The sequence below is a fragment of the Homo sapiens genome, chromosome 9 (assembly GCF_000001405.40).
Source record: "Homo sapiens chromosome 9, GRCh38.p14 Primary Assembly".
Lineage (NCBI taxonomy): Eukaryota > Metazoa > Chordata > Mammalia > Primates > Hominidae > Homo > Homo sapiens.
In genome coordinates, this window is record NC_000009.12 from 128,920,800 (window position 1) to 128,943,379 (window position 22,580).

Below are 22,580 nucleotides of genomic sequence, written 5' to 3' on the forward strand. Positions count from 1 at the left end.
TAACCCCTCTGAACCAGGAGCCTGAGCTGCACTTACTGCTCCCCCCTGCCCCCCGGACGGCCTGGACCAAGCAGCAGCTCCCAGAGCGGTGGCCCAGCAAACACGACTTGACTCGAGGCCAAGGCTCTTGAGGGCTGAGCAGTGTCCCCATGCACACTCCTGAAACACTTTGTCCCTTCGCCATTCAGAAGGCATCATTTTGGGGAAGGCAGCAGCCGGTTTTTCAGAGCCAGCGAGTGGCCCTGCCAGCTGCTGAGCAGGGCAAGCTGAGAAGGGTGGTGGTGTGCAAGTGTTATTCTCTCTTTTTGTTTTTGTTTTTGTTTTTTGAGATGGAGTCTTACTCTGTCGTCCAGGCTGGAGTGAGTGCCGTGGCATGATCTCGGCTCACTGCAACCTCCGCCTCCTGGGTTCAAGCGATTCTCCTGCCTCAGCCTCCCGAGTAACTGGGACTACAGGCACCTGCCACCATGCTCGGCTAGTTTTTGGTATTTTTATTTATTATTTATTTATTTATTTTGAGACCGAGTCTCGCTCTGTCGCCCAGGCTCTAGTGCAGTGGCCCAATCTCGGCTCACTGCAAGCTCCGCCTCCCGCGTTCACGCCATTCTCCTGCCTCAGCCTCGCGAGCAGCTGGGACTACAGGTGCCCGCCACCACGCCCGGCTAATTTTTTGTATTTTTAGTAGAGACGGGGTTTCACCGTGTTAGCCAGGATGGTCTCGATTTCCTGACCTCGTGATCCGCGCGCCTCTGCCTCCAAAGTGCTGGGATTACAGGCCCGAGCCGCCGCACCCGGCCTGCAGGTGTTGTTCTGACCCCAGCTCCACTGTGCCAGCCCGACTTGAGATGCCAAGTATCTTGGGCCTGAGGGTGGGTAACAGGAAGCATCTCTCTCTCCTCAGCCCCTTCCTCCTACTAAGATACCCCATGTCTCCTACTTTCGTCTGAGCTGCAGATGGATGCGTTAATTCCCTTCCATAATCCTCCCAGGACCGAGAGGGTTTCAGATCGGTGCTGGGAGGGGCCCAGATAGTTCTCCCCAGGACCTCTTCCACCTTTGGAATGCCCATTACCTGGAGAAGGGGGGTGCCGCACATCCCCCAGACCAACCCTGCATCCCATTCTATCCAGATTGAGGCCTAGAGAGAGGCAGGCGTTCCTCAGAGTCACAGGGAATGGCGGCGCCTGGACTGGGACTCAGCCCAGCTGCTTGGCCTGACCCTCTCACAGCATAATTTCCCGGCACCTGGTAAGCAGTGGTGGGGGGTGGTTTCCAGAAGAAACACAGAGGAAGCAGATAAAATCCTTGGAGATGGGAAAGGGCAAATCCTGGATTAGTTGTGGGGGTGGGGGAGATTAGCCTGGAGGTCACAGGCTGATCTGGCTGTGTCTAGGGAAGGAGGGTTGGGTGGTGGGACCGGGTTTTCTCCGGGTAGGGAAGGGTTAAGTCCTCCCAGGCTCCTAAACTTTCTCCTCCCCACCAGGAGGCCGCGCTTAGAAGCCGCCCAGTGCCCTGAGCGTCTCCATGGCCTGCCTGAGCCCCTCGCAGCTCCAGAAGGTAGGAGCCTGCAAGTCGGGGCCGGGAGGGTCATGGCGGGGGGGTCCCTGCCGGACCTTCAGTAGTCCCAGTGCCCAACCCACCCCCTGCCCCATTTTACCGAGGACGAAACTGAAGCCCAGAGGAGCGGGTTCCCAACCGCAACCCCTCCTGACTTCTTCACACATAGCCCTGGGTGTCTAGATCACAGGACCCAGGGTAGGGTGGGGTGGGGACGTGTGTGTTTGACCAAAAACGAGAATAAGGCCTCGGAACCCACCAGTTCAGCCCTGGGCGGGAGTCGGCAACGCTGTTGGGGGGCGCAGCGCCCAGGAGGGGGCGGGGCCTGCGAGGGGCCCAGGAGGGCCCATGTTCGTCCAATCACAAAAGGCTACCTCGTAGGAATTAGTGTGCAACAGCCTTTTAAAAAATCACTCATACATTCCTACGCTGAGACTTAATATTTTCGTATACAGCTCTAGAAGCTTTGTTTCAAAGTCTGTTACAACAGCTACCACGAATCAAGTGCTGGACAGGTTTTTTTGGGAGGGTAGGGAGGAGACGGGGTCTTGCCACAGGCACACGCCCCCATGCCCAGCTCTTTTTTTTTTTTTTTTTTTTTTTTTGAGACGGAGTTTTGCTCTTGTTGCCCAGGCTGGAGTGCAATGGCACAATCTTGGCTCACCACAACCTCTGACTCCCAGGTTCAAACGACTCTCCTACCTTAGCCTCCCGAATAGCTGGGATTACAGGCATGCGCCACCACACCTGGCTAATTTTGTATTTTTAGTAGAGACAGGATTTCACCATGTTGGCCAGACTGGTCTTGAACTCTTGACCTCAAGTGATCCGCCTGCCTTGGCCTCCCAAAGTGCTGGGATTACAGGCGTGAGCCACCGTGCCCGGTCCTATTTTTATTTTTGCAGAGATGGGGTCTCACTTTGTTGCCCAGGCTGGTCCAGAGCTCCTGGGCTAAAGCGATCCTCCTGCCTTGGCCTTCCAAAGTGCTGGGACAACAAGGCATGAGCCACCGCGCCCAGCCTGCCAGCTTCAATAAAGGAGGCTGTACTGCTATCCCCGTTTGGTAGCCCGAGGGCCAGAGAAAGGAGGGCACTTACTTGGTCAAGTTCTCACAATGGCCAGATAATCATGTATAGCCAATCTTTGAGAGGAAATATGTTTCTACATGATTTTTATCAGCTATACTGTGTTCCAGATAGATAAACTATACTTTGTTAAACTAATCCCCTTGCGCTGAGCATTTAGATTACTCCCCACTTGGTTCTGTCATGAAACAAGGCTCAGTGAATATCCCCATATGTATATGTATATCTTTGATCCCCTATTGCGTAATCCTCCTAAAACAATTCCTAGCTGTGGCTCACGTCTGTAATCCCAATCCACTTTGTGATGCCAAGGTGGGAGGATCGCTTGTGCACAGGAGTTCAAGACCAGCTTGGGCAATATAGCAAGACTCCTTCTCTAAAAAAAAATAAAACTGGCCAGGCGCGGTGGCTCACCTCTGTAATCCCAGCACTTTGGGAGGCCAAGGCAGGCGGATCACCTGAGGTCAGGAGTTGGAGACTAGCCTGGCCAACATGGCGGAACCCTGTCTCTACTAAAAATACAAAAATTTAGCTGGGCGTGGTGGCGCACACCTGTAATCCTAGCTACTCAGAAGGCTGAGGCTGGAGAATCACTTGAACCCCGAAGGCAGAGTTTGCAGTGAGCTGAGATCATGCCACTGCACTCCAGCCTGGTCAACAGAACAAGACTGCGTCTCAAAAATAAAATAAACAGGCCGGGCGCAGTGGCTCATGCCTGTAATCCTAGCACTTTGGGAGGCCGAAGTGGGCGGATCACAAGGTCAGGAGATCAAGACCATCCTGGCTAACATGGTGAAACCCCGTCTCTACTAAAAAACACAAAAAAATTAGCTGGGCATGGTGGCGGGCGCCTGTAGTCCAAGCTACTCGGGAGGCTGAGGCAGGAGAATGGTGTGAACCCGGGAGGCGGAGCTTGCAGTGAGCTGAGATCGCGCCACTGCGCTCCAACCTGGGCAACAGAGTGAGACTCTGTCTCAGAATAAAGTAAAATAAAATAAAATAAACAATAAAATAAATAAAATTAGCCAGGCGTGGTGGTGTGCACCTGCAGTCCCAGCTACTCGGGAGACTGAGGCAGGAGGATTGATTGAGCCCAGAAGTTCAAGGCTGCAATGAGCTATGATCACATCACTACTCTCCAGCCTGGGTGACAGAGAGAGACCCTGTCTCTTAAAAAAAAAAAAAAAGAAGAAGGAAAGAAAAGAGAAAAGGGCTGGGTGCGGTGGCTCATGCCTGTAATCCCAGCATTTTGGGAGTCCGAAGTGAGTGGATCACCTGAGGTCAGGAGTTCGAGACCAGCCTGGCCAACATAGTGAAACCCCATCTCTACTAAAAATACAAAAATTAGCCAGGTGTGGTGGTGCATTCCTGTAATTCCAACTACTCGGGAGGCTGAGGCAGGAGAATCACTTAACCCTGAGAGGTAGAGGTTGCGATGAGCTGAGATCATGCCATTGCACTCCAGCCTGGGCAACAAGAGTGAGACTCCGTCTCAAAAAGAAAAAAAAGGAAAAAAAGAATTCCTAGCTGTATTTGTGTATTTACTGGATCAAGGGTATGTTGCACAGGTTGCTGTGGTTGGCCCAATTCCCAAGGAGGCAATTTTCAGCTTGATACTGATGTGATTAATTCCTAACATGCAGAGCTGAGGGGCCCATGGTGGGTGGTCATGAGTGGTGTGTGGAAGCCAGAACTGAGCATCCCATGGTGGCGGAAGGGGTGTCCTTAACCGGAAACTAGGCTCTTTGTGGGTGTGTGCAGTAAGTGACTTTCTTTTCTTTTTCTTTCTTTTTTTTTTTTTTGAGATGAAGTCTTGCTTGGTCTTCTAGGCTAGAGCGCAGTGGCGTGATCTCAGCTCACTGCAACTTCTGCTTGCTGAGTTCAAATGATTCTCCTGCCTCAGCCTCCCGAGTAGCTGGGATTACAGGTGCCCGCCACCGCACCTGGCTAATTTTTGTATTTTTAGTAGAGACAGGGTTTCACCTTGCTGGCCAGGCTAGTCTCCGACTCCTGACCTCAAGCAATCCACCCAGCTTGACTTCCCAAACTGTTGGGATTATAGGTGTGAGCCACCATGCCCAGCAGTAGGTGACTTTCAGTGTCCCTGTTGGGGCTAAAACTTGGTAACGCTCTGCAGGCAAATGTGCAGATATTCATTCCCTCCCTTTCTCTCTCAAGAGCCTCAGAATAAGAGGACCAGAGGCAAATCAGAAGAAGCCATCTACTTCCCCTCCCTGGCTGCCACTGCGCTCAGGATAGAATATAGCTCCCAGCCTGGCCCAGCCCCTGCCACCCTCCTGCCTCCTCTTCCACCCCTCCCCTCACTCTGCCCTATCCATTCCCAATTCCTTATGTTCCTCCCAAATTCAGGGGCTTCCCATATCCTGCTCCCTCTGTCTGGAATGCCCTTCCCTTATCCTGCTGGTCCCCTCTTGAAATGTCACTCCCTCAGCGCTGCTGCTCCCAGACCCTTCTCCTTCCCAGCCAGCTTACGCTAGCTGCTTCTGCCTTCAGCACTCACACTCATCCTCTCTCTCTGGCACGAAGTTTGTGACAGTAAATTTACCTGTGTGGTTAGTGTAATGCCGGTCTCTTTCACTAGACTGTAGACACCATGAGGGCAGGCATCATGGCTGGCTTGCTTATAGCCATACTTTTAGCTCCTAAAACCGTGTCTCAGACACAGTAGATGCTCAATCAATATTGGCTGAATACATGAATAAGGTTGTGTTTCCAGGTGACCCAAGCCTGGAGGGGAAGGGCAGGGACAACTTTCCCTTGCCGCTCCTTTTTCTTTTCTTTTTTTGAGACGGAGTTTCGCTTTTGTTGCCCAGGCTGGAATGCAATGGCATGATCTCGGCTCACTGCAACCTCCACCTCCTGGGTTCAAGCTATTCTCCTGCCTCCAAGCTATTCTCCTGCCTCAGCCTCCCGAGGAGCTGGGATTACACAGGCATGCGCCACCACACCTGGCCAAGTTTTTGTATTTTTAGTAGAGATGGGGTTTCACCATGTTGGTCAGGCTGGTCTGGAACTCCCGACCTTAAGTGATCCTCCCAAAGTGCTGGGATTACAGGCGTGAGCCACTGTGCCCAGCTTCCTTTTTCTTTTTCTTTCTTTTTTTTTTTTTTTTTTCGAGGTGGAGTCTCATCTGTTGCTCAGGCTGGAGTGCAGTGGTGAGATCTCGGCTCACTGCAACCTCCGCCTCCTGGGTTCAAGTGATTCTCCTGCCTCAGCCTCCCAAGTAGCTGGGACTACAGGCATGCACCACCATGCCCAGCTAACCATGCCCTGGCTGGTTTGAGACCAGCCAGGATGGTCTCAAACTCATGACCTCAAGTTATTGCCCGCCTCAGCCTCTCAAAGTGCTGGGATTAGAGGCATGAGCCACTGCACCCGGCCTCACTACTTGTTCTTCCATTCAAGCAGCCAATATTGATTGCTCTTTGCTGGGTGCCAGACTCCATGCCTGGGGTTGGGGACAGGGCAGCAAACAAGATACCTGGTCCCACCTTCACACAGCTGCAAGGTTGAGGGAAGGGTCAGACAGGAGCATTTGCAGACTGGGGAAGCCTGAGTCTCAAGCCTGCCTGCAGTTCCAACAGGATGGATTCCTGGTGCTGGAAGGATTCTTGTCTGCGGAAGAGTGTGTGGCCATGCAACAAAGGATTGGCGAGATAGTGGCTGAAATGGATGTTCCTCTCCACTGCCGCACAGAATTCTCCACCCAGGAAGAGGAGCAGCTTCGAGCCCAGGTAGGTGTCTGGGGCACATGAGGATGGGATGTGGCTTTTGAGGGAGGGCTTGGTCCCCGGCCAGAGCAGCATCGTGGAAGGGAGGATCCCAAGGCTCCAGGGTGTCAGGCCAAGCCCCTTACACACCTTTCCCTCGCTCCTCACTGGGAAGTTATCAAGTAGGCTTTATTGTCCTTTTTTTTTTTCTTTTTTCTTTTAAAACAGAATCTCACTCTGTTGCTCAGTCTGGAATTCAGTGGCGCGATCTCAGCTCACTGCAACCTCCGCCTCCCGGGTTCAAGTGATTCTCCTGCCTCAGCCTCCTGAGTAGCTGCACTTACAGGCATGCGCCACCAGGCCCGGCTAATTTTTGTATTTTTAGTAGAGACAGGGTTTCATCATGTTGGTCAGGCTGGTCTTGAACTCCTGATCTCCAGGTGATCCACCAGCCTCAGTCTCCCAAAGTGCTGAAATTACAGGCTATTATTATCCCCCCATTAGACAGTTGGGGAAAATTAGGTTCAGATCACTTGCCCCAAGCCACACAGTTAGTAGTGGACAGAGTCAGGATTTCAACCCAGATCTGTCTGATACCAAGTCCCTGCTGTTCCCAGCTTGGCTTTACTTTCTGTTTTCCGGCTGTTCTCTGGTCACCGAAGGCCACTTTGTGGCCAGCCACCTGGAATGAGCACAGTGGTCTGGATGACCCCCACCTGTGTAACTATCCCCCATGAGACTAGGAACTCAGATTTTCTCCCCCCAGTGACCGAATAGGTCACATGATAGGACCCAGTACAGTTTGCAATGGGTAAATTGAAGACTCTGGGGTCTCCCACACCGTTCTCTTGACCCTTCCTAGTCAGAGTTTATTATGAGCCTGCTTGCGCCTGGGCCAGGTGAGATCCTGGCACTCACGCCGAGGAGCACCTGCCATCTGGTGGGCATTAGCAGAAATACAACAGCCGGAAGCCATCCCAGGGAATGGGAAGAATGGGGTCTTGAGAAGGAAAAAGAACCAGTTAAGGAATGACAGTTTCTTCCAAAAAGCTGGTCTCATTTGCTGCACAGCTGCCTTCCATTCGGGGGGATACTGGGGGAAGCAGAGACAGCTCCTGCAGCCAGAGACAGGCAGGCCACTCAAGGGTTCCTAGGAGTAAGAAGGGCCGAATCCTGTGCCCTCCAAGCTGCCTTCAGAGACTAATGGGTTGTGGGGTGGGAAGAAAGTGAGAATAAAGCTGATATATTGGCCGGGCGCAGTGACTCACGCCTGTAATCCCAGCACTTTGGGAGGCCGAGGTGGGTGGATCATCTGAGGTCAGGAGTTTGAGACTAGCCTGGCCAACATGGTGAAACCCTGTTTCTACTAAAAATACAAAAATTAGCTGGGCCAGGTGATGCATACCTGTAATCCCAGCTACTTGGGAGGCTGAGACAGGAGAATCGCTTGAACCCAGGAAGTGGAGGTTGCAGTGGGCCAAGATCATGCCACTGCACTCCAGCCTGGGCAACAGAGCAAGAATCCTGTCTCAAAAAAAAACAAAAACAAAAACAAAAAACTGATATATCTTGGTTTATAATGCATGCAAAGAAAAGAGCTTGGCATGGTGCCCAGCACTCAGTAACATCCTCAATATTCACTCTTGATACTGTGAGAAAAAAAAAGATCAGTGGGCGTCCTGTTTCATTTTCTTGGGTTACCTCCAGCTTTCCTTGTTTGAGTTATTTTACAACACTGTAAGTTGGATAAAACTGATAATAATGCACATGATACTTGTCCAAGTAGGGGGTCAGTACCACTCTGTTCCAATCACGTTACCATGAACTGGGTCCTGGGGAATGCAATTATTGCCCTGTGGATAGAACAGTTGGGCAGCTGGGTGTGGTGGCTCATGCCTGTAATCCCAGCAGTTTGGGAGGCCAAGCAGGGAGGATCGCTTGAGCCCAGGAATTCGCAAACAGCCTGGTCAACAAAGTGAGACCTGTCTCTACAAAAAAATTTTTTTAAATTAGCTGGGCATGGTGGTATATGCCTGTGGTCCCAGCTACATGGGAGGCTGAGGCAGAAGGATCACTTGGGGCCAGGAGGTTGAGGCTGCAGTGAGCTATAATCATGCCACTGCACTCCAGTCTGGGTGGGTGATAAAGAAAGACCCTGTCTCAAAAAAACAAAACAAAACAAAAAACAGTTTGCATCTATCTCTAAATTCATTTCAAGGGCCAGGAGTGGTGGCTTATACCTGTAATCCCAGCACTTTGGGAGGCTGAAACAGGCAGATCGCTGGAGGTCAAGGGTTCAAGACTAGCCTAGGGAACATGGTGAAACCCGGTCTCTACCAAAAATACAAAAATTAGCTGGGCATGGTGGCAGGCGCCGGCGGTCCCAGCTACTTGGGTGGCTGAGGCAGGAGAATCGCCTGAACCCTGAAGGGAGAGTTTGCAGTGAGCTGAGATTGTGCCACTGCACTCCAGCCTGGGTGACAGAGCGAGATTCTATCTCAAAAAAAAAAAAATTCATTTCAGTTTCCTTAGTATCTACATACGTGTGTGTGTAATTCTTGGAATTCTCCTTTGAACCAGTTGTAACATCTTACTGGTTCCCTCATGAAATAACGAATTCAGTAAAATATTTGACATATGCTTAGCATCATTACCTTTAATATTTTTACCATCCAGGCATGGTGGCTCAAGCCTATAATCCTAGCACTTTGCAAGGCCAAGGCAGTGGACAAATCACTTGAGCTCAGGAGTTTGAGACCAGCCTGGGCAACATGGTGAAACCCTGTCTCTACAAAAAATACAAAAAAAAAAAAAATTAGTCGTGGCCGGGCATGGTGGCTCATACCCGTAATCCCAGCACTTTGGGAGGCCAAGGCAGGCAGATCATTTGAGCCCAGGAGTTCAACACCAGCCTGAGCAACATGGCAAAACCCCATCTCTACCAAAAATCCAAGAAAATTAGTTGAGAGTGGTGATGCACGTGTGTAATCCTGGCTACTTGGGAGGCTGAGACAGGAGGATAGCTTGAACCCAGGAGATGGAGGTTGCAGTGAGCCAAGATTGCGCCACTGGACTCCAGCCTGGGGGACAGAGTGAAACCCTGTCTCAAAAAAAAAAAAAAAATTAGGCATGGTGGTGTGAACTTGTAGTTCTAGCTACTTAGGAGGCTGAGGTGGAAGGATCACCTGAGCTCAGGAAGTCAAGGCTACAGTGAGCCGTGATCCCATTGCACCATTCACTCCAGCCTGGCCAACAAAATGAGACACTGTCTTTTTAAAAAAAAAAAAACAAACCCTGGCATGGTGGCTCATGCCTGTAATCCCAGCACTTTGGGAGGCTGAGGTGGGCAGATCACCTGAGGTCAGGAGTTCAAGACCAGCCTGACCAACATGGAGGTTGAGGTGAGCCAAGATCGCGCTAATGCACTCCAGCCTGGGCAAGAGTGAACCTCCGTCTCAAAAAAAAAAAGAAAAAAACAAACAAAAAAAGCACCTCGGCCGGGTGCAGTGGCTTACGCCTGTAACCCCAGCACTTTGGGAGGCCGAGGCGGGGGGATCACAAGGTCAGGAGATCGAGACCATCCTGGCTAACACAGTGAAACCCCATCTCTACTAAAAATACAAAAAATTAGCTGGGTGTGGTGGCGGGCACCTGTAGTCCCAGCTACTCGGGAGGCTGAGGCAGAAGAATGGCGTGAACCCGGGAGGCGGAGCTTGCAGTGAGCCGAGATTGGGTCACTGCACTCCAGCCTGGGCGACAGAGCGAGACTCTGTCTCAAAAAAAAAAAAAAAAAGGCACCTCAATTTCTTCTTCTATAAAATGGAGATTATAGTAGACCCTACCTCTCTGGGTTTTGGGAGGCTGAGTAAGATAACACATGTACAGGCATGTCTCAGAGATAATTCAGGTTTGGTTCCAGACCACTGCAATAGAGCCAGGATTTTTTTGTTTTGTTTGAGATATATTTTCGCTCCTGTCATGCAGGCTGGAGTGCAGTGGCGTGATCTCAGCTCACTGCAATCTCCACCTCCTGGATTCAAGTGATTCTCCTTCCTCAGCCTCCAGAGTAGCTGGGATTACAGGCGTGTGCCACCACGTCCTGCTAATTTTTGGATTTTTATTAGAGACGTGGTTTCACCATGTTGGCCAGGCTGTCTCGAACTCCTGACCTTAGGTGATCCACCCGCCTTGGCCTCCCAAAGTGCTAGGATTACAAGCATGAGCCACAGCACCCATCCTAGAGCCAGGATTTAAACCCAAGGATTTCAGCTCCAGAATCTGTGTCCTAACTGCTATAAGATTCAGCCTCTGGCTGAAGCCTCCAAGAATTGAGGAGGTCAGTTTTTTGTTTTTCTTTTTCTTTTTTTTTTGAGACGGAGTCTCGCTCTGTCACCCAAGCTGGAGTGCAGTGGCGCGATCTCGGCTCACTGCAAGCTCCGCCTCCTGGGCTCACGCCATTCTCCTGCCTCAGCCTCTGGAGTAGCTGAGACTACAGGCGCCCGCCACCACACCCGGCTAATTTTTTGTATTTTGTTTAGTAGAGACAGGGTTTCACCGTGTTAGCCAAGATGGTCTCGATCTCCTGACCTCGTGATCCGTCCGCCTCAGCCTCCCAAAGTGCTGGGATTACAGGCGTGAGCCACCTCGCCCGGCCTTTCTTTCTTTCTTTCTTTCTTTTTGAGATGGAGTTTTGCTCTTGTTGCCCAGACTGGAGTGCAATGGTGCGATCTTGGCTCATTGCAACCTCCACCTCCTGGGTTCAAGCAATTCTCCCATCTCAGCCTCCCAAGTAGCTGGGATTACAGGTGCATGCTACCACGCCCGGCTAATTTTTGCATTTTTAGTAGAGATGGGGTCTCATCATATTGGTCAGGCTGGTCTCAAACTCCTGACCTCGGGTGATCTGCCCACCTCAGCCTCCCAGAGTGCTGAGATTAAAGGCATGAGCCACCGCACCCGGCCTGGGGAAGTCAGTTCTATTATTATTATTATTATTGTTATTATTATTATTATTTTTTTTTTTTGAGATGGAGTCTCGCACTGTCACCCGGGTTGGAGTGCAATGGCACAATCTCAGCTCACTGCAACCTCTGCCTCCTGGGTTCAAGCGATTCTCCTGCCTCAGCCTCCTGAGTAGTTGGGATTACAACAGGTGCCCACCACCACACTCGGCTAATTTTTTGTACTTTTGTTTTTATTTTTATTTTTTCTTGAGATGGAATTTCGCTCTTGTTGCCCAGGGTGGAGTGCAATGGCACGATCTTGGCTCACCGCAACCTCCGCCTCCCAGGTTCAAGCAATTCTCCTACCTCAGCCTCCCGAGTAACTGGGATTACAGGCATGCGCCACCATGCCCGGCTAATTTTGTAATTTTAGTAGAAATGGGGTTTCTCCACGTAGGTCAGGCTGCTCTTGAACTCCTGACCTCAGGTGGTCTGCCCTCCTTGGCCTCCCAAAGTGCTGGGATTACAGGTGTGAGCCACTGCACCCAGCAATTTTTTGTATTTTTAGTAGAGACGGGGTTTCACTATGTTTGCCAGGTTGGTCTTGAACTCCTGATCTCGTGATCCGCCTGCCTCAGCCTCCCAAAGTGCTGGGATTACAGGTGTGAGCCACAGTGCCTGGTTGGTCAGTTCTATTATTATTCCTTATTTATTTATTTATTTATTTATTTATTTATTTATTTATTTTTTGAGACAGAGTCTTGCTCTGTTGCCTAGGCCAGAGTGCAGTGGCCCAATCTTGGCTCACTGCAAGCTCTGCCTCCCGGGTTCACGCCATTCTCCTGTCTCAGCCTCCGGAGTAGCTGGGACTACAGGTGCCTGCCACCATGCCCGGCTAATTTTTTGTATTTTTTTTAGTAGAGACGGGGATTTCACCATGTTAGCCAGGATGGTCTCGATCTCCTGACCTCGTGATCCGCCCACCTCGGCCTCCCAAAGTGCTGGGATTACAGGCATGAGCCACTGCACCCAGACTTTTTTTTTTTTTTTTTTTTTTGAGACAGAGTCTCACTCTGTCGCCCAGGCTGGAGTGCATAGTGCAATCTCGGCTCACTGCAACCTCCGCCTCCCATGTTCAAGTTATTCTCCTGCCTCAGCCTCCCGGGTACCTGGGACTACAGGTGCCTACCACGCCCAGCTGTTTTTTGTATTTTTAGTAGAGACAAAGTTTCACCATGTTGGCCAGGCTGGTCTCGAACTCCTGGCCTCAAGTGATCTGCCTCAATATGCTGGGATTACAGGTGTGAGTCGTTACTCCCAGCCATTATTATTCCTTTTTTTACAGATGAGAAAATGAAGTCTTGGTGACATAAAACCAGGGGCCCAAGGCTGCTAGGGAACCAGCCCTATTCGACTCTAGCATCCATGTTCTGAATCACAGTATAGTGAGGTGTCCAAGAAATTCCATGTTTGCATCTTTGGGGTGTGCTTCCAGGCACTTGAAGTTCTGGCTCACTGTCTGTGCCTCAGTGGACAAGTCTGAGAAGCCCCCAGGGTGTCTGTAACCCTGTGAGGGTGGGAAGCTTCTGAATCCGCCTCCCTCTTTGCCAGGCCCAGCTCTGACCCCAGGATGCTGTCTCAGTCCTCTGATGTCCCCTTTCCACAGGGCAGCACAGACTATTTCTTGAGCAGTGGTGACAAGATTCGATTCTTCTTTGAGAAAGGCGTTTTTGATGAGAAAGGTTTGGAGCTGGGGCCCTAGAGCTGGGGAGGAGCCATGGTGAGGGTAGGCTGGACCTGGGAATCTGCCCCCTGGGCTGGAAGCATGCTGAAGCCAGCTGCCCATGGAAGGCTGGACACCAGTTCTCTGCCTTTATCTGTTCTTTGTGCCACAGGAAATTTCCTGGTCCCTCCGGAGAAATCCATCAACAAAATTGGCCACGGTGAGCAGGGGCTTGGGGGTACAGGAAAGAAGATCGGGGAACAGGCTGGGAGTGGTGGCTTACACTTGTAATCCTAACTAACACTTTGAGAAGTCAAGGTGGGCAGATCACTTGAAGTCAGGAGTTCAAGACCAGTCTGGCCAACATGGTGAAACCCCATCTCTACTAAAAATAGAAAAAATTAGGTGAGTGTAGTGGTGCACACCTGTAGTCCCAGCTACTCAGGAGGCTGAGGCAGGAGAATTGCTTGAACCTGGGAGGCGGATGTTGCAGTGAGCTGAGATGTGCCATTGCACTCCAGCCTGCCTGGGTGACAGAGACAGAGTGAAACCCTGTTAAAAAAAAAAAAAAAAGAAAAGGAAAAAGCATGGGGAAACTGGGGAAACTGAAGCCTGAAGAGTTTAGGAGCTTTAATGAAAGCCCATAGTGGCTGGGCGTGGTCGTTCACGTCTGTAATCCCAGGACTTTGGGAGGCCAAGGTGGGTGGATCACCTGAGGTCGGGAGTTCAAGACCAGCCTGACCAATGTGGAGAAACCCTGTCTCTACTAAAAATACAAAATTAGCTGAATATGGTTGCGCATGCCTGTAATCCCAGCTACTTGGGAGGCTGAAGCGGGAGAATAGCTTGAACCCGAGAGGCTGAGGCTGCAGTGAGCCGATATCATGCCATTGCACTCCAGCCTGGGCAACAAGAGTGAAACTCCGTCTCAAAAAAAAAAAAAAGCAAACAAGAAAGAAAGCCCATAGTAAATTAGTGGTCGGGTAAATGGCATTTGTGGCTTCAGGCTCCCCTCTGGTCTTGGGCCCCTCTGCTAATCATGACACTGCTGCCACAGCACTGGGGATAGGGGGTCCACCTGATCCCCCCTAACAGGTGGGCATGTGCAGGCTCTCTACTGCCTGGCCTGGGGGAGCTCCTGGGTCCAGTGCTCCCTAGAGCCACCCTAAGGGGCACCTGACCTGCTGACAGGGTCCCTATTCTGACACCCCAAAGTCAAGTAAGAAAACCCTCACTTTTTTTCTTTAGGATCATACATTATAATTTGTTTTATAGGCTATTTATTTTTTTAAATAAAATTGAGAGGAGGTCTCGTTATGTTGCCTAGGCTGATCTTCAACTACCGGGCTCAAGTGATCCTCCTGCCTTGGCCTCTCAAAATGCTGGGATTATAGGCATAAGCCACTGCACTTGGCCTAGAATGCTTATTGTTAAGCCTGAAGTTATATCATGGTAAGCTTGTAGACAAGTTGTGGTAAAATACACGTAAGATTTACCATATCATTGCCGGGCGTGGTGGCTCACGCCTGTAATCCCAGCACTTTGGGAGGCTGAGGTGGGCGGATCACGAGGTCAGGAGATCGAGACCATCCTGGCTAACACAGTGAAACCCTGTCTCTACTAAAAACACAAAAAATTAGCCGGACCTTGTTGTGGGCGCCTGTAGTCCCAGCTACTGCCACTGCACTCCAGCCTGGGCAACAGAGCGAAACTCTGTCTCAAAAAAAAAAAAAAAAAGAAAAGATTTACCATATCATCATAACCCTTTTAAAGTACGTAGCTTGGCCGGGCGCGGTGGTTCACGCCTGTAATCCCAGCACTTTGGGAGGCCGAGGCGGGTGGATCACGAGGTCAGGAGTTCAAGACCAGCCTGGCCAATATGGTGAAAAACCATTTCTACTAAAAATACAATAATTAGCTGGGCGTGGTGGCACATGCCTGTAGTCCCAGCTGCTCAGGAGGCTGAGGCAGGAGAATCGCTTGAACTAGGGAGGTGGAGGTTGCAGTGAGCCGAGATTGTGCCACTGCACTCCAGCCTGGGCGACAGAGTGAGACTCCATCTCAAAACTAAATAAATAAATAAAAATAAAAAGTACATAGCTCAGTGGTATTAAATGCATTCAATCTTATGTTTATGACAATGAGGGACTATCCCATGCCAGGCCCTGGGCTGTCCCTGCACATTCATTAGCCCATCGAGTCCCACACCAGTCCTGCCTCCCAGGTTCTTCTAATCCTCATTTGACAGAAGAGGAAACTGAGGCTTACAGGAGAGAAATGGTTACCCGAGGCCACACAGAGCAAATGGTGGTACCGAGATTGCTCCGCATGATTGGTGCCTTGGAGCCCTTAGTCGTCTGTGAGGGGTGGGGAGTCGGGGCTGGACTGAGCTTCCCAGAAGGTCAAGAATAAGGGCATGGGTGGCATAGGGCCTGGGGTGGGGGCAAGGCTCCTGTGGAGCCCATTACTCAGTTGTAAACAAGCAGAAGGGTTAATGCCTACAAAGTAAGTGAGAATGTCAAAGTAAGCCTGAGTGTGGGTGCCCAGAGCTGGGTGTGGAGGGACACGTGGGCCTGAGATGGGGCCGACAGCTTCCTTCTGTCCCATAGCTCTGCACGCCCACGACCCCGTCTTCAAGAGCATCACACACTCCTTCAAGGTGCAGGTGAGCAGAGGTGGGGGTGAGGGCCAGGAGGGTGGGCCATGTGTGGCAGGCTGGCAGCATGACCTTTGCCCCCCTCCAGACCTTGGCCAGAAGTCTGGGCCTCCAGATGCCCGTGGTGGTGCAGAGCATGTACATCTTTAAGGTGAGCTCCTTGTCCTTGCCTCAGTTTACCATCTGTAAAATGGGCAGACTGCTCATACCAAGCCCTTCCTTACAATGGGCCAAAAGTTGCTGGAATTATTATGTTGGTGGGAGAACATGGAAAATCGGTCTCCTCTGGCTAAAGCACCTGGAACTTAGTTGATCCTCAGTTAAAATTTGGTGGTAGGGGCCGGGCGTGGTGGCTCATGCCTGTAATCCCAGCACTTTGGGAGGCTGAAGCGGGCAGATCACCTGAAGTCAGGAGTTCGAGATCAGCCTGGCCAACATGGAGAAACCCCATCTCTACTAAAAATACAAAAATTAGCCGGGCGTGATGGCACACACCTGTAGTCCCAGCTACTCGGGAGGCTGAGGCAGGATAATTGCTTGAACCCAGGAGGTGGAGGTTACAGTGAGTGGAGATCACGCCAATGTACTCTAGCCTGGGGGATAGAGCAAGGCTCCGTCTCAAAAAAAAGAAAAATTTGGCCAGGCGCAGTGGCTCACGCTTGTAATCCCAGCTCTCAGGGAGGCAGAGGTGGGAGGGTAGCTTGAACCCAGGAGTTTGAGACCTGCCTGGGCAATATAGCGAGACCCCATTCTCCACAAAAAGGAAGAAAAAAAAAAAGAAAAAAAAATTTGGTGGTAGGAGGGAGGGTCATCCCCAGGCCTCCCTCGGCCTTCCTCCTCCCTTCTTTGGCAATTGAAATGCTGTGCTCCCAGCTTTCAAGGGCCAGCTCAGTGCCACCTCTTCTAAGAAGCCTTCCAGAACCCCTGAGGAAAGAAGGACCCATCTGACTCTGGGGCTGGAAGGCTCAACTGCTGGCCTGTGTCCTAGCCTCTCCCTCCAGTCCTTGCCCTGCTCTGCTCTGTGATCTTGTTAGGCATGTGTGTGCTTGCACATGCTAGGAGCTTGTTGGGCAGGGGTGGGGGTTTTCTCTTTGCATCCCTCCTGGGGCTGGCATATGGTAGGTGCTCAGTAGCTGGGTGTTGATGTGGAATCCTGAGAGGAAAATGCCTGTGGCCAGAGCAATAGCATCCTGGGAGTCTCAGCAAGCCCAGCTCCTCTCTGCTCTCTTCTGTCCTCACCAGGCTTTTCCTCTCTCTTGCAGCAACCTCACTTTGGCGGTGAAGGTGAGCTGAGAGCTGTGGGCCCCTGAAAAGGCCATGGGTGGGACATCTAAGACAGCAATGGTTCTCAGATCTTCAGAAGGAGGGAAAGCGCTTGCTCCTGTCTGTTGTAGGAGCCTGGCCCGGAGAGGAGGAGCCACCTTCCATTCCTTCCCCTGATAGTGGATTGGTAGGGAAACCTTGCGTCCTTGGCATAGTGGGTCCTGAGCCTGCCAGCAACCCCAGCTGGTTAAAAATATAGATTTCCTAGGACAGGCGTGGTGGCTCATGCCTGTAATCCCAGCAATTTGGAAGGCAGAGGCGAGCGGATCACCTGAGGTCAGGAATTCGAGACCAGCCTGGCCAACATGCTGAAGCCCCATCTCTACTAAAAATACAAAAATTTTGGTGGGTGTAGTATCGCACACCCGTAGTCCTAGCTACTCAGGCGGCTGAGGCAGGAGAATCGCTTGAACCCAGGAGGCAGAGGTTGCAGTGAGCCAAGATCACACCACTGCACTCCAGCCTGGGTGACAGAGTGAGACTCTGTCTCAAAACCAAACAAACAAAAAAACCAAACCAAACCAAGCAAACAAAAAAAACAGATTCCTGGGCCCTAGTCCCTGAGATCTTGAGCCAGTAGGGCTGCATGGGCCTGGGAATCTGTTTTTTGGGTTTTTTTTTGAGACAGAGTTTCATTCTTGTCACCCAAGGTGGAGTACAATGGCACAATTTCGGCTCACTACAACTTCCGCCTCTCCGGTCCAAGTGATTCTCCTGCCTCAGCTTCCCAAGTAGCTGGGATTACAGGTGCCTGCCACCACGCCCAGCTAATTTTTTGTATTTTTAGTAGAGACGGGGTTCCACCATGTTGGCCAGGCTGGTCTCGAACTCCTGACCTCAGGTGATCCACCCGCCTCAGCCTCCCAAAGTGCTGGGATTACAGGGATGAGCCACCGCGCCCGGCCCTGGAATCTGTATTTTTAACAAGTTTCCTGGAGGACGAATTCAGCATAGAAATTGCTGATCTAGTTCCACACCCTACACCATGCAGCCACCCTTTACAGCCTCCCTAGTAGGTGATTATCTACTTCTGCTCAAATACCTCTGGTGACAGGGAGCTCATCCCCTCCCAGGAAGCCCTTTCCTTCCTTGCATGAGCCCAAGTCAGCCTCCTTGTGACCACCTTCTTCCACCATTCAGCCTGTACGAAGTTCCCCAAAGGGATGACCATCCCCACCCTTAGCCTGAGTCCAGTTCCCCAAAGGGATGACCATCCCCACTCTCTGCCTGAGTCCAGTTCTCCCAGTTCCTTCCACCATTCCTCTCCCAAATGTTTCAAAGCCCCTTCCATTTCAAATGTTCCTTTGGAGGTCTGTCTTAAAGTTCAGTATTCAGAAAACACGCAGTTGCCCGGGAAGGAAGGAGGTGAGACAGCAACCTGTTTGTTCTGTTGCTGAGGACCATGTTCCTTTGTTCGGTGGTTCCGCATCCTAACTGTGCCCCAGCATCGTGTGGGGAGGTTTTTAAAAATGTGGATGCTGGCCAGGAGTGGTGGCTCACGCTTGTAATCCCAGCACTTTGGGAGGCCGAGGGGGTAGATCACCTAAGGTCAGGAGTTTGAGACCAGCCTGGCTAACATGGTGAAACCCCATCTCTACTAAAAATATGAAAATTAGCTGGGCGTGGTGTCAGGCACCTGTAATCCCAGCTACTAGGGAGGCTGAAGCAGGAGAATCACTTGAATCCGGGAGGCGGAGGTTGCAGTGAGCCAAGATCGTGCCACTGCACTCCAGCCTGGGCGACAGAGCCAGACTCCGTCTCAAAAAAAAAAAAAATAATAATAATAATAAAGAAATGTGGATGCCTGATCATAGCATCTCCCTGCTTCGCACCCAACTTCCCAATTTTTTTTTTTGAGAGGGAGTCTTGCTCTGTCACCCAGACTGGAGTGAGGTGGCACAGTCTCGGCTCACTGCAAGTTCTGCCTCCCGAGTTCAAGCAATTCTTCTGTCTCAGCCTCCCAAGTAGCTGGGATTACAGGCGCCTGCCACCACACATGGCTAATTTTTGTGTTTTTAGTAGAGACAGGGTTTCACCATGTTGGCCAGGCTGGTCTCAAATTCCTGACCTCAGGTGATCCACCCGCCTTGGCCTCCCAAAGTGCTGAGATTATAGGTGTGAGCCACCGCGCCAAGCCCCAACCTCCCAAACTTAGGCCACTGGGTGAACCATCTGGTGGCTGGGGGCCGCTTGTCCCTGGTTAAGAAGGGTGGCTTGAGTTATCTCACTGGAATTAAACAGTAGTGCTACTTTATATCAAGCAGTTACATTGTTGGGCCCTAAGCACTTTTCATACATCATCTCATAGAATCCTCCAGCACCCTGTGAGGTAGGTTGTTGTTGGAGCCACTTCACGGTTTAGGAAATTGAGGCTTTGAGAGGTGAAATCGCTTGCCTTAGAGTCCTGGGCCAGGAAGTGATGAGATTCTAACTGATCATGGGAAGGCTGGCCCTGGAGAGCACCCAGAGGACTGAGGAATAGGTAATGAGGCCAAGGTGAGGTGGAAACAGGCAAAAGGATGAGCTCCTCACCCCCCGTGGGCCTGCTTAGTCTCCCCTCATCAGGACGCCTCCTTCCTGTACACGGAGCCCCTGGGCCGGGTGCTGGGCGTGTGGATCGCAGTGGAGGATGCCACGCTGGAGAACGGCTGTCTCTGGTTCATCCCTGGCTCCCACACCAGTGAGGAACCCTGTCTCTTCTGCCCACTTGGGACTCCCCACCCCCTAGGGAGAGGGACCTTGAGAAAGGAGGAGTTTAAGGCTCTCCATCTTGGCCTGCAGGTGGTGTGTCAAGAAGGATGGTCCGGGCCCCTGTTGGCTCAGCGCCTGGTACCAGCTTCCTTGGGTCAGAGCCAGCCCGGGATAACAGCCTCTTTGTGCCCACCCCAGTGCAGAGAGGTAGGCAGATGCAGAGGGCAGAGAGGCAGGGGGCTGAGTCCATCAGTCTGTGCTTGCTCGACTACCCAGCGTCCAAGAGGTTGCCCTCGGGGTCATCTGAGGGCAGTGAAGTCACAGAAAGAGAAGGAGGGGCTGGATGGGCGCTGGGAAGTCAGGAAGCAGCATGTTTTCCTGCAGGCTGATCCAGATCACCCTGGAATCCACACTCTGCTACTTATGGGCTGTTTCTCTGGGCAAATGACTGACTCCCTGAGCCTTAATTTCCCCAAACGTAAAGTGGAAAGTCAGTGAGATGATAAATATGTTGATATAGAGTCTGCCTAGTGCATAGCCACTGCTCAACAAATGTTGGCTGTTGGGCGGCCCTTTTTCTTATGAAAAGGGAAAACCAATGTCTAACTCAGCATCACCGGAGAGGTCCCAGTGGACTGGCACAGGACAGAGGGCTTCTGCCTGATCCTGCAAAGACCTCGGGAGGGGAGGCCCTTCCTAAGGCTTGCCAAGGCCACAGTCCACAGCAGAGGGGACTTGATCCCAGAGGAACATGCATCTCAATAGCTTAGCTTTTGTCCCTGAGGGAGGCTGCAGATGCCTGAGCTTTCAGGGAAGGGAATGGGGATGGATGGGGGCCACAAAACCACTGGAAGGAGGAGGGCCCATGTCCCTTCCTGCTCTGGGGAGGGGGGATGTGGGGCTGGTAGGTTCCTGACCTGCTTGTGTCTCTGCCAGGGGCCCTGGTCCTCATCCATGGAGAAGTGGTACACAAGAGCAAGCAGAACCTCTCTGACCGCTCGCGCCAGGCCTACACTTTCCACCTCATGGAGGCCTCTGGCACCACCTGGAGCCCGGAGAACTGGTAGGTGACAGGGTGGGTGTGTGTGCCCGACAGTCCCCTGGAGGCTGGGAACAGTGACCCTGCACCTCAAGGTTGTTTCTCCTCTATCCTCTGCAGGCTCCAGCCAACAGCTGAACTGCCCTTTCCCCAACTGTACACCTAAAGGCTCTCGCAGGGCAGGAGCCCTCGCCCCTCCCGGGTGAAGCTGTGGGCTGTAAACACCAGTGCCTTGCTCAGCCTCCTGGTTGCAACAGGGAGGTCTTGTCTCCCCTCCTGGGCTTTCCTCCTGCCCTGTGGGCAGCAGCCTAGGCTGGGTCAGGGGCTTCCCTAAGATCTTCACCTCTCTGCCTCCCTACTGCCCCAACATAGCCTTGAGGAGGCTTCTCAGCCACCAAAGGGTTCTGGCCCCTTCTCACTCTCCTCTCCTCTCAGATGGAACTCTGGTTATTATGGTGTTAGTTATCGAATAAAAACGACTTCAGAATGCAGCTTCCCTACTGAGCCTTCTTTCCCAAGCAGCATTGCTTTCCAGAGAAGAAAACTGCTTTCCAGGCCAGGTGCAGTGGCTCACGCCTGTAATCCTAGCACTTTGGGAGGCCGAGGTGGGCGGATGACCTGAGGTTGGCAGTTCTAGACCAGTTTGACCAACATGGAGAAACCCTGTCTCTACTAAAAATACAAAAAATTAGCTGGGCGTGGTGGTGCGTGCCTGTAATCCCAGCTACTCGGGAGGCTGAGGCAGGAGAATAGCTTGAACCCGGGAGGTAGAGATTGCGGTGAGTCGAGATCACACCATTGCACTCCAGCCTGGGCAACACAAGCAAAACTCCATCTCAAAAAAAAAAAAAAAAATTGCTTTCCAGACAAGATGCTAAAATGCATCCCAGGTACCCCAGCCCTGCTTGGCGTGGCTTGCATGATTTTAATAAGTAACATTTAGTGGGCAGTGACCGTGTGCCCTGCTCTGTGCTGAGACCTTCACAGGCTTTATCTCATGGAATCCTCACTCGGAGAGGTAAGTGCCATTATCTGTACTTACAGAAGACGACGCTGAGCCAAGGAGGGGGTAAATGACCTGCCCAAGTCACGTGGCTGCTCGGTTGTTCAGCAGGGTCAGCCTCATGCAGAGCCCGTGCTCCTAACCTTGACACTGCCTCGTCTTCTCTTCTTGGGGAGCAGAGATGCCCAGAGCTAGGAATCCAGAGTTCCAGGTTCTGGTCCTGGCTCTGTGAGCAACTTGCTCTCTGGTCTCAGGCCAGGGCCTTTCCTTCCTCTGGGCCTGTTTCCTCCCATGTCCAGTAAGGGGGCCAGACTAGGGCCTTCAGGGGCCCTTCCTGTTTGGGCATGCTTGGCAGGCACTCAGACCTTCAGAACAACTGCCAAATCTAAAACCTTAGCTGAGGTTTGGCCCAGAGGCTACAAACTGGGGAACACAGGCTGATTCTAGCCCACAGACGCATTTTGTCTGGGCCTCAGCATTTTTTTTTTTTTTTTGAGACAGAGTCTCACTCTGTCACCCAGGCTGGAGTGCAGTGGCAAGATCTCAGCTCATTGCGACCTCCGCCTCCCGGGTTCAAGCAATTCTCTCCCTCAGTATCCAGAGTAGCTGGGATTACAGGCGCCTGCCACCACACCCGGCTAATTTTTGTATTTTTAGTAGAGACAGGGTTTCACCATCTTTGCCAGGCTGGTCTTGAACTCCTGACCTAGTGATCCACCCGCCTTGGCCTCCCATAGTGCTGGGATTACAGGCGTGAGCCACCGCGCCTGGCCAGGCCTCAGCATTTAAGAAAAAACTTGAAGATTCCACATAATAATCCAGGTTCCTA

At 51.7% G+C, this 22,580-nt stretch overlaps 1 protein-coding gene across 3 annotated transcripts, besides 2 other annotated features; it reads left to right on the forward strand.

The window, feature by feature from the left end:
* Positions 1–182: 182 nt before the first annotated feature.
* PHYHD1 (phytanoyl-CoA dioxygenase domain containing 1) lies at positions 183–21,242 on the forward strand. 3 transcript variants are annotated; one of them, NM_001100876.2, is made up of 13 exons: positions 183–869; positions 1,131–1,248; positions 1,484–1,557; positions 6,239–6,397; positions 12,983–13,058; positions 13,212–13,259; positions 15,649–15,704; positions 15,784–15,846; positions 16,958–16,979; positions 19,570–19,698; positions 19,800–19,916; positions 20,646–20,772; positions 20,869–21,239. In NM_001100876.2, exons 3-13 carry the CDS (start codon positions 1,525–1,527, stop codon positions 20,912–20,914), a joined length of 876 nt encoding a protein of 291 aa, NP_001094346.1. In that variant the 5' UTR covers positions 183–869; positions 1,131–1,248; positions 1,484–1,524; the 3' UTR covers positions 20,915–21,239. The 3 variants fall into 3 exon arrangements, with proteins under 3 accessions (NP_001094346.1, NP_777593.2, NP_001094347.1); NM_174933.4 differs by lacking the exon at positions 16,958–16,979; NM_001100877.1 differs by lacking the exons at positions 183–869; positions 1,131–1,248; positions 15,784–15,846 and having other exon boundaries at positions 20,869–21,242.
* Positions 10,511–10,805: a silencer, noted in NCBI's record as "tiled region #12425; K562 Repressive DNase matched - State 5:Enh". NCBI's record gives its function as "represses a minimal TATA promoter and a strong SV40 promoter by Sharpr-MPRA in K562 cells {active_cell/tissue: K562}" and the evidence as "EXISTENCE:reporter gene assay evidence [ECO:0000049][PMID:27701403]".
* Positions 20,947–21,145: a silencer, noted in NCBI's record as "fragment chr9:131704025-131704223 (GRCh37/hg19 assembly coordinates)". NCBI's record gives its function as "represses an EF-1alpha promoter that drives an FKBP-Casp9 reporter gene in an ReSE screen in K562 erythroleukemia cells {active_cell/tissue: K562}" and the evidence as "EXISTENCE:reporter gene assay evidence [ECO:0000049][PMID:32094911]".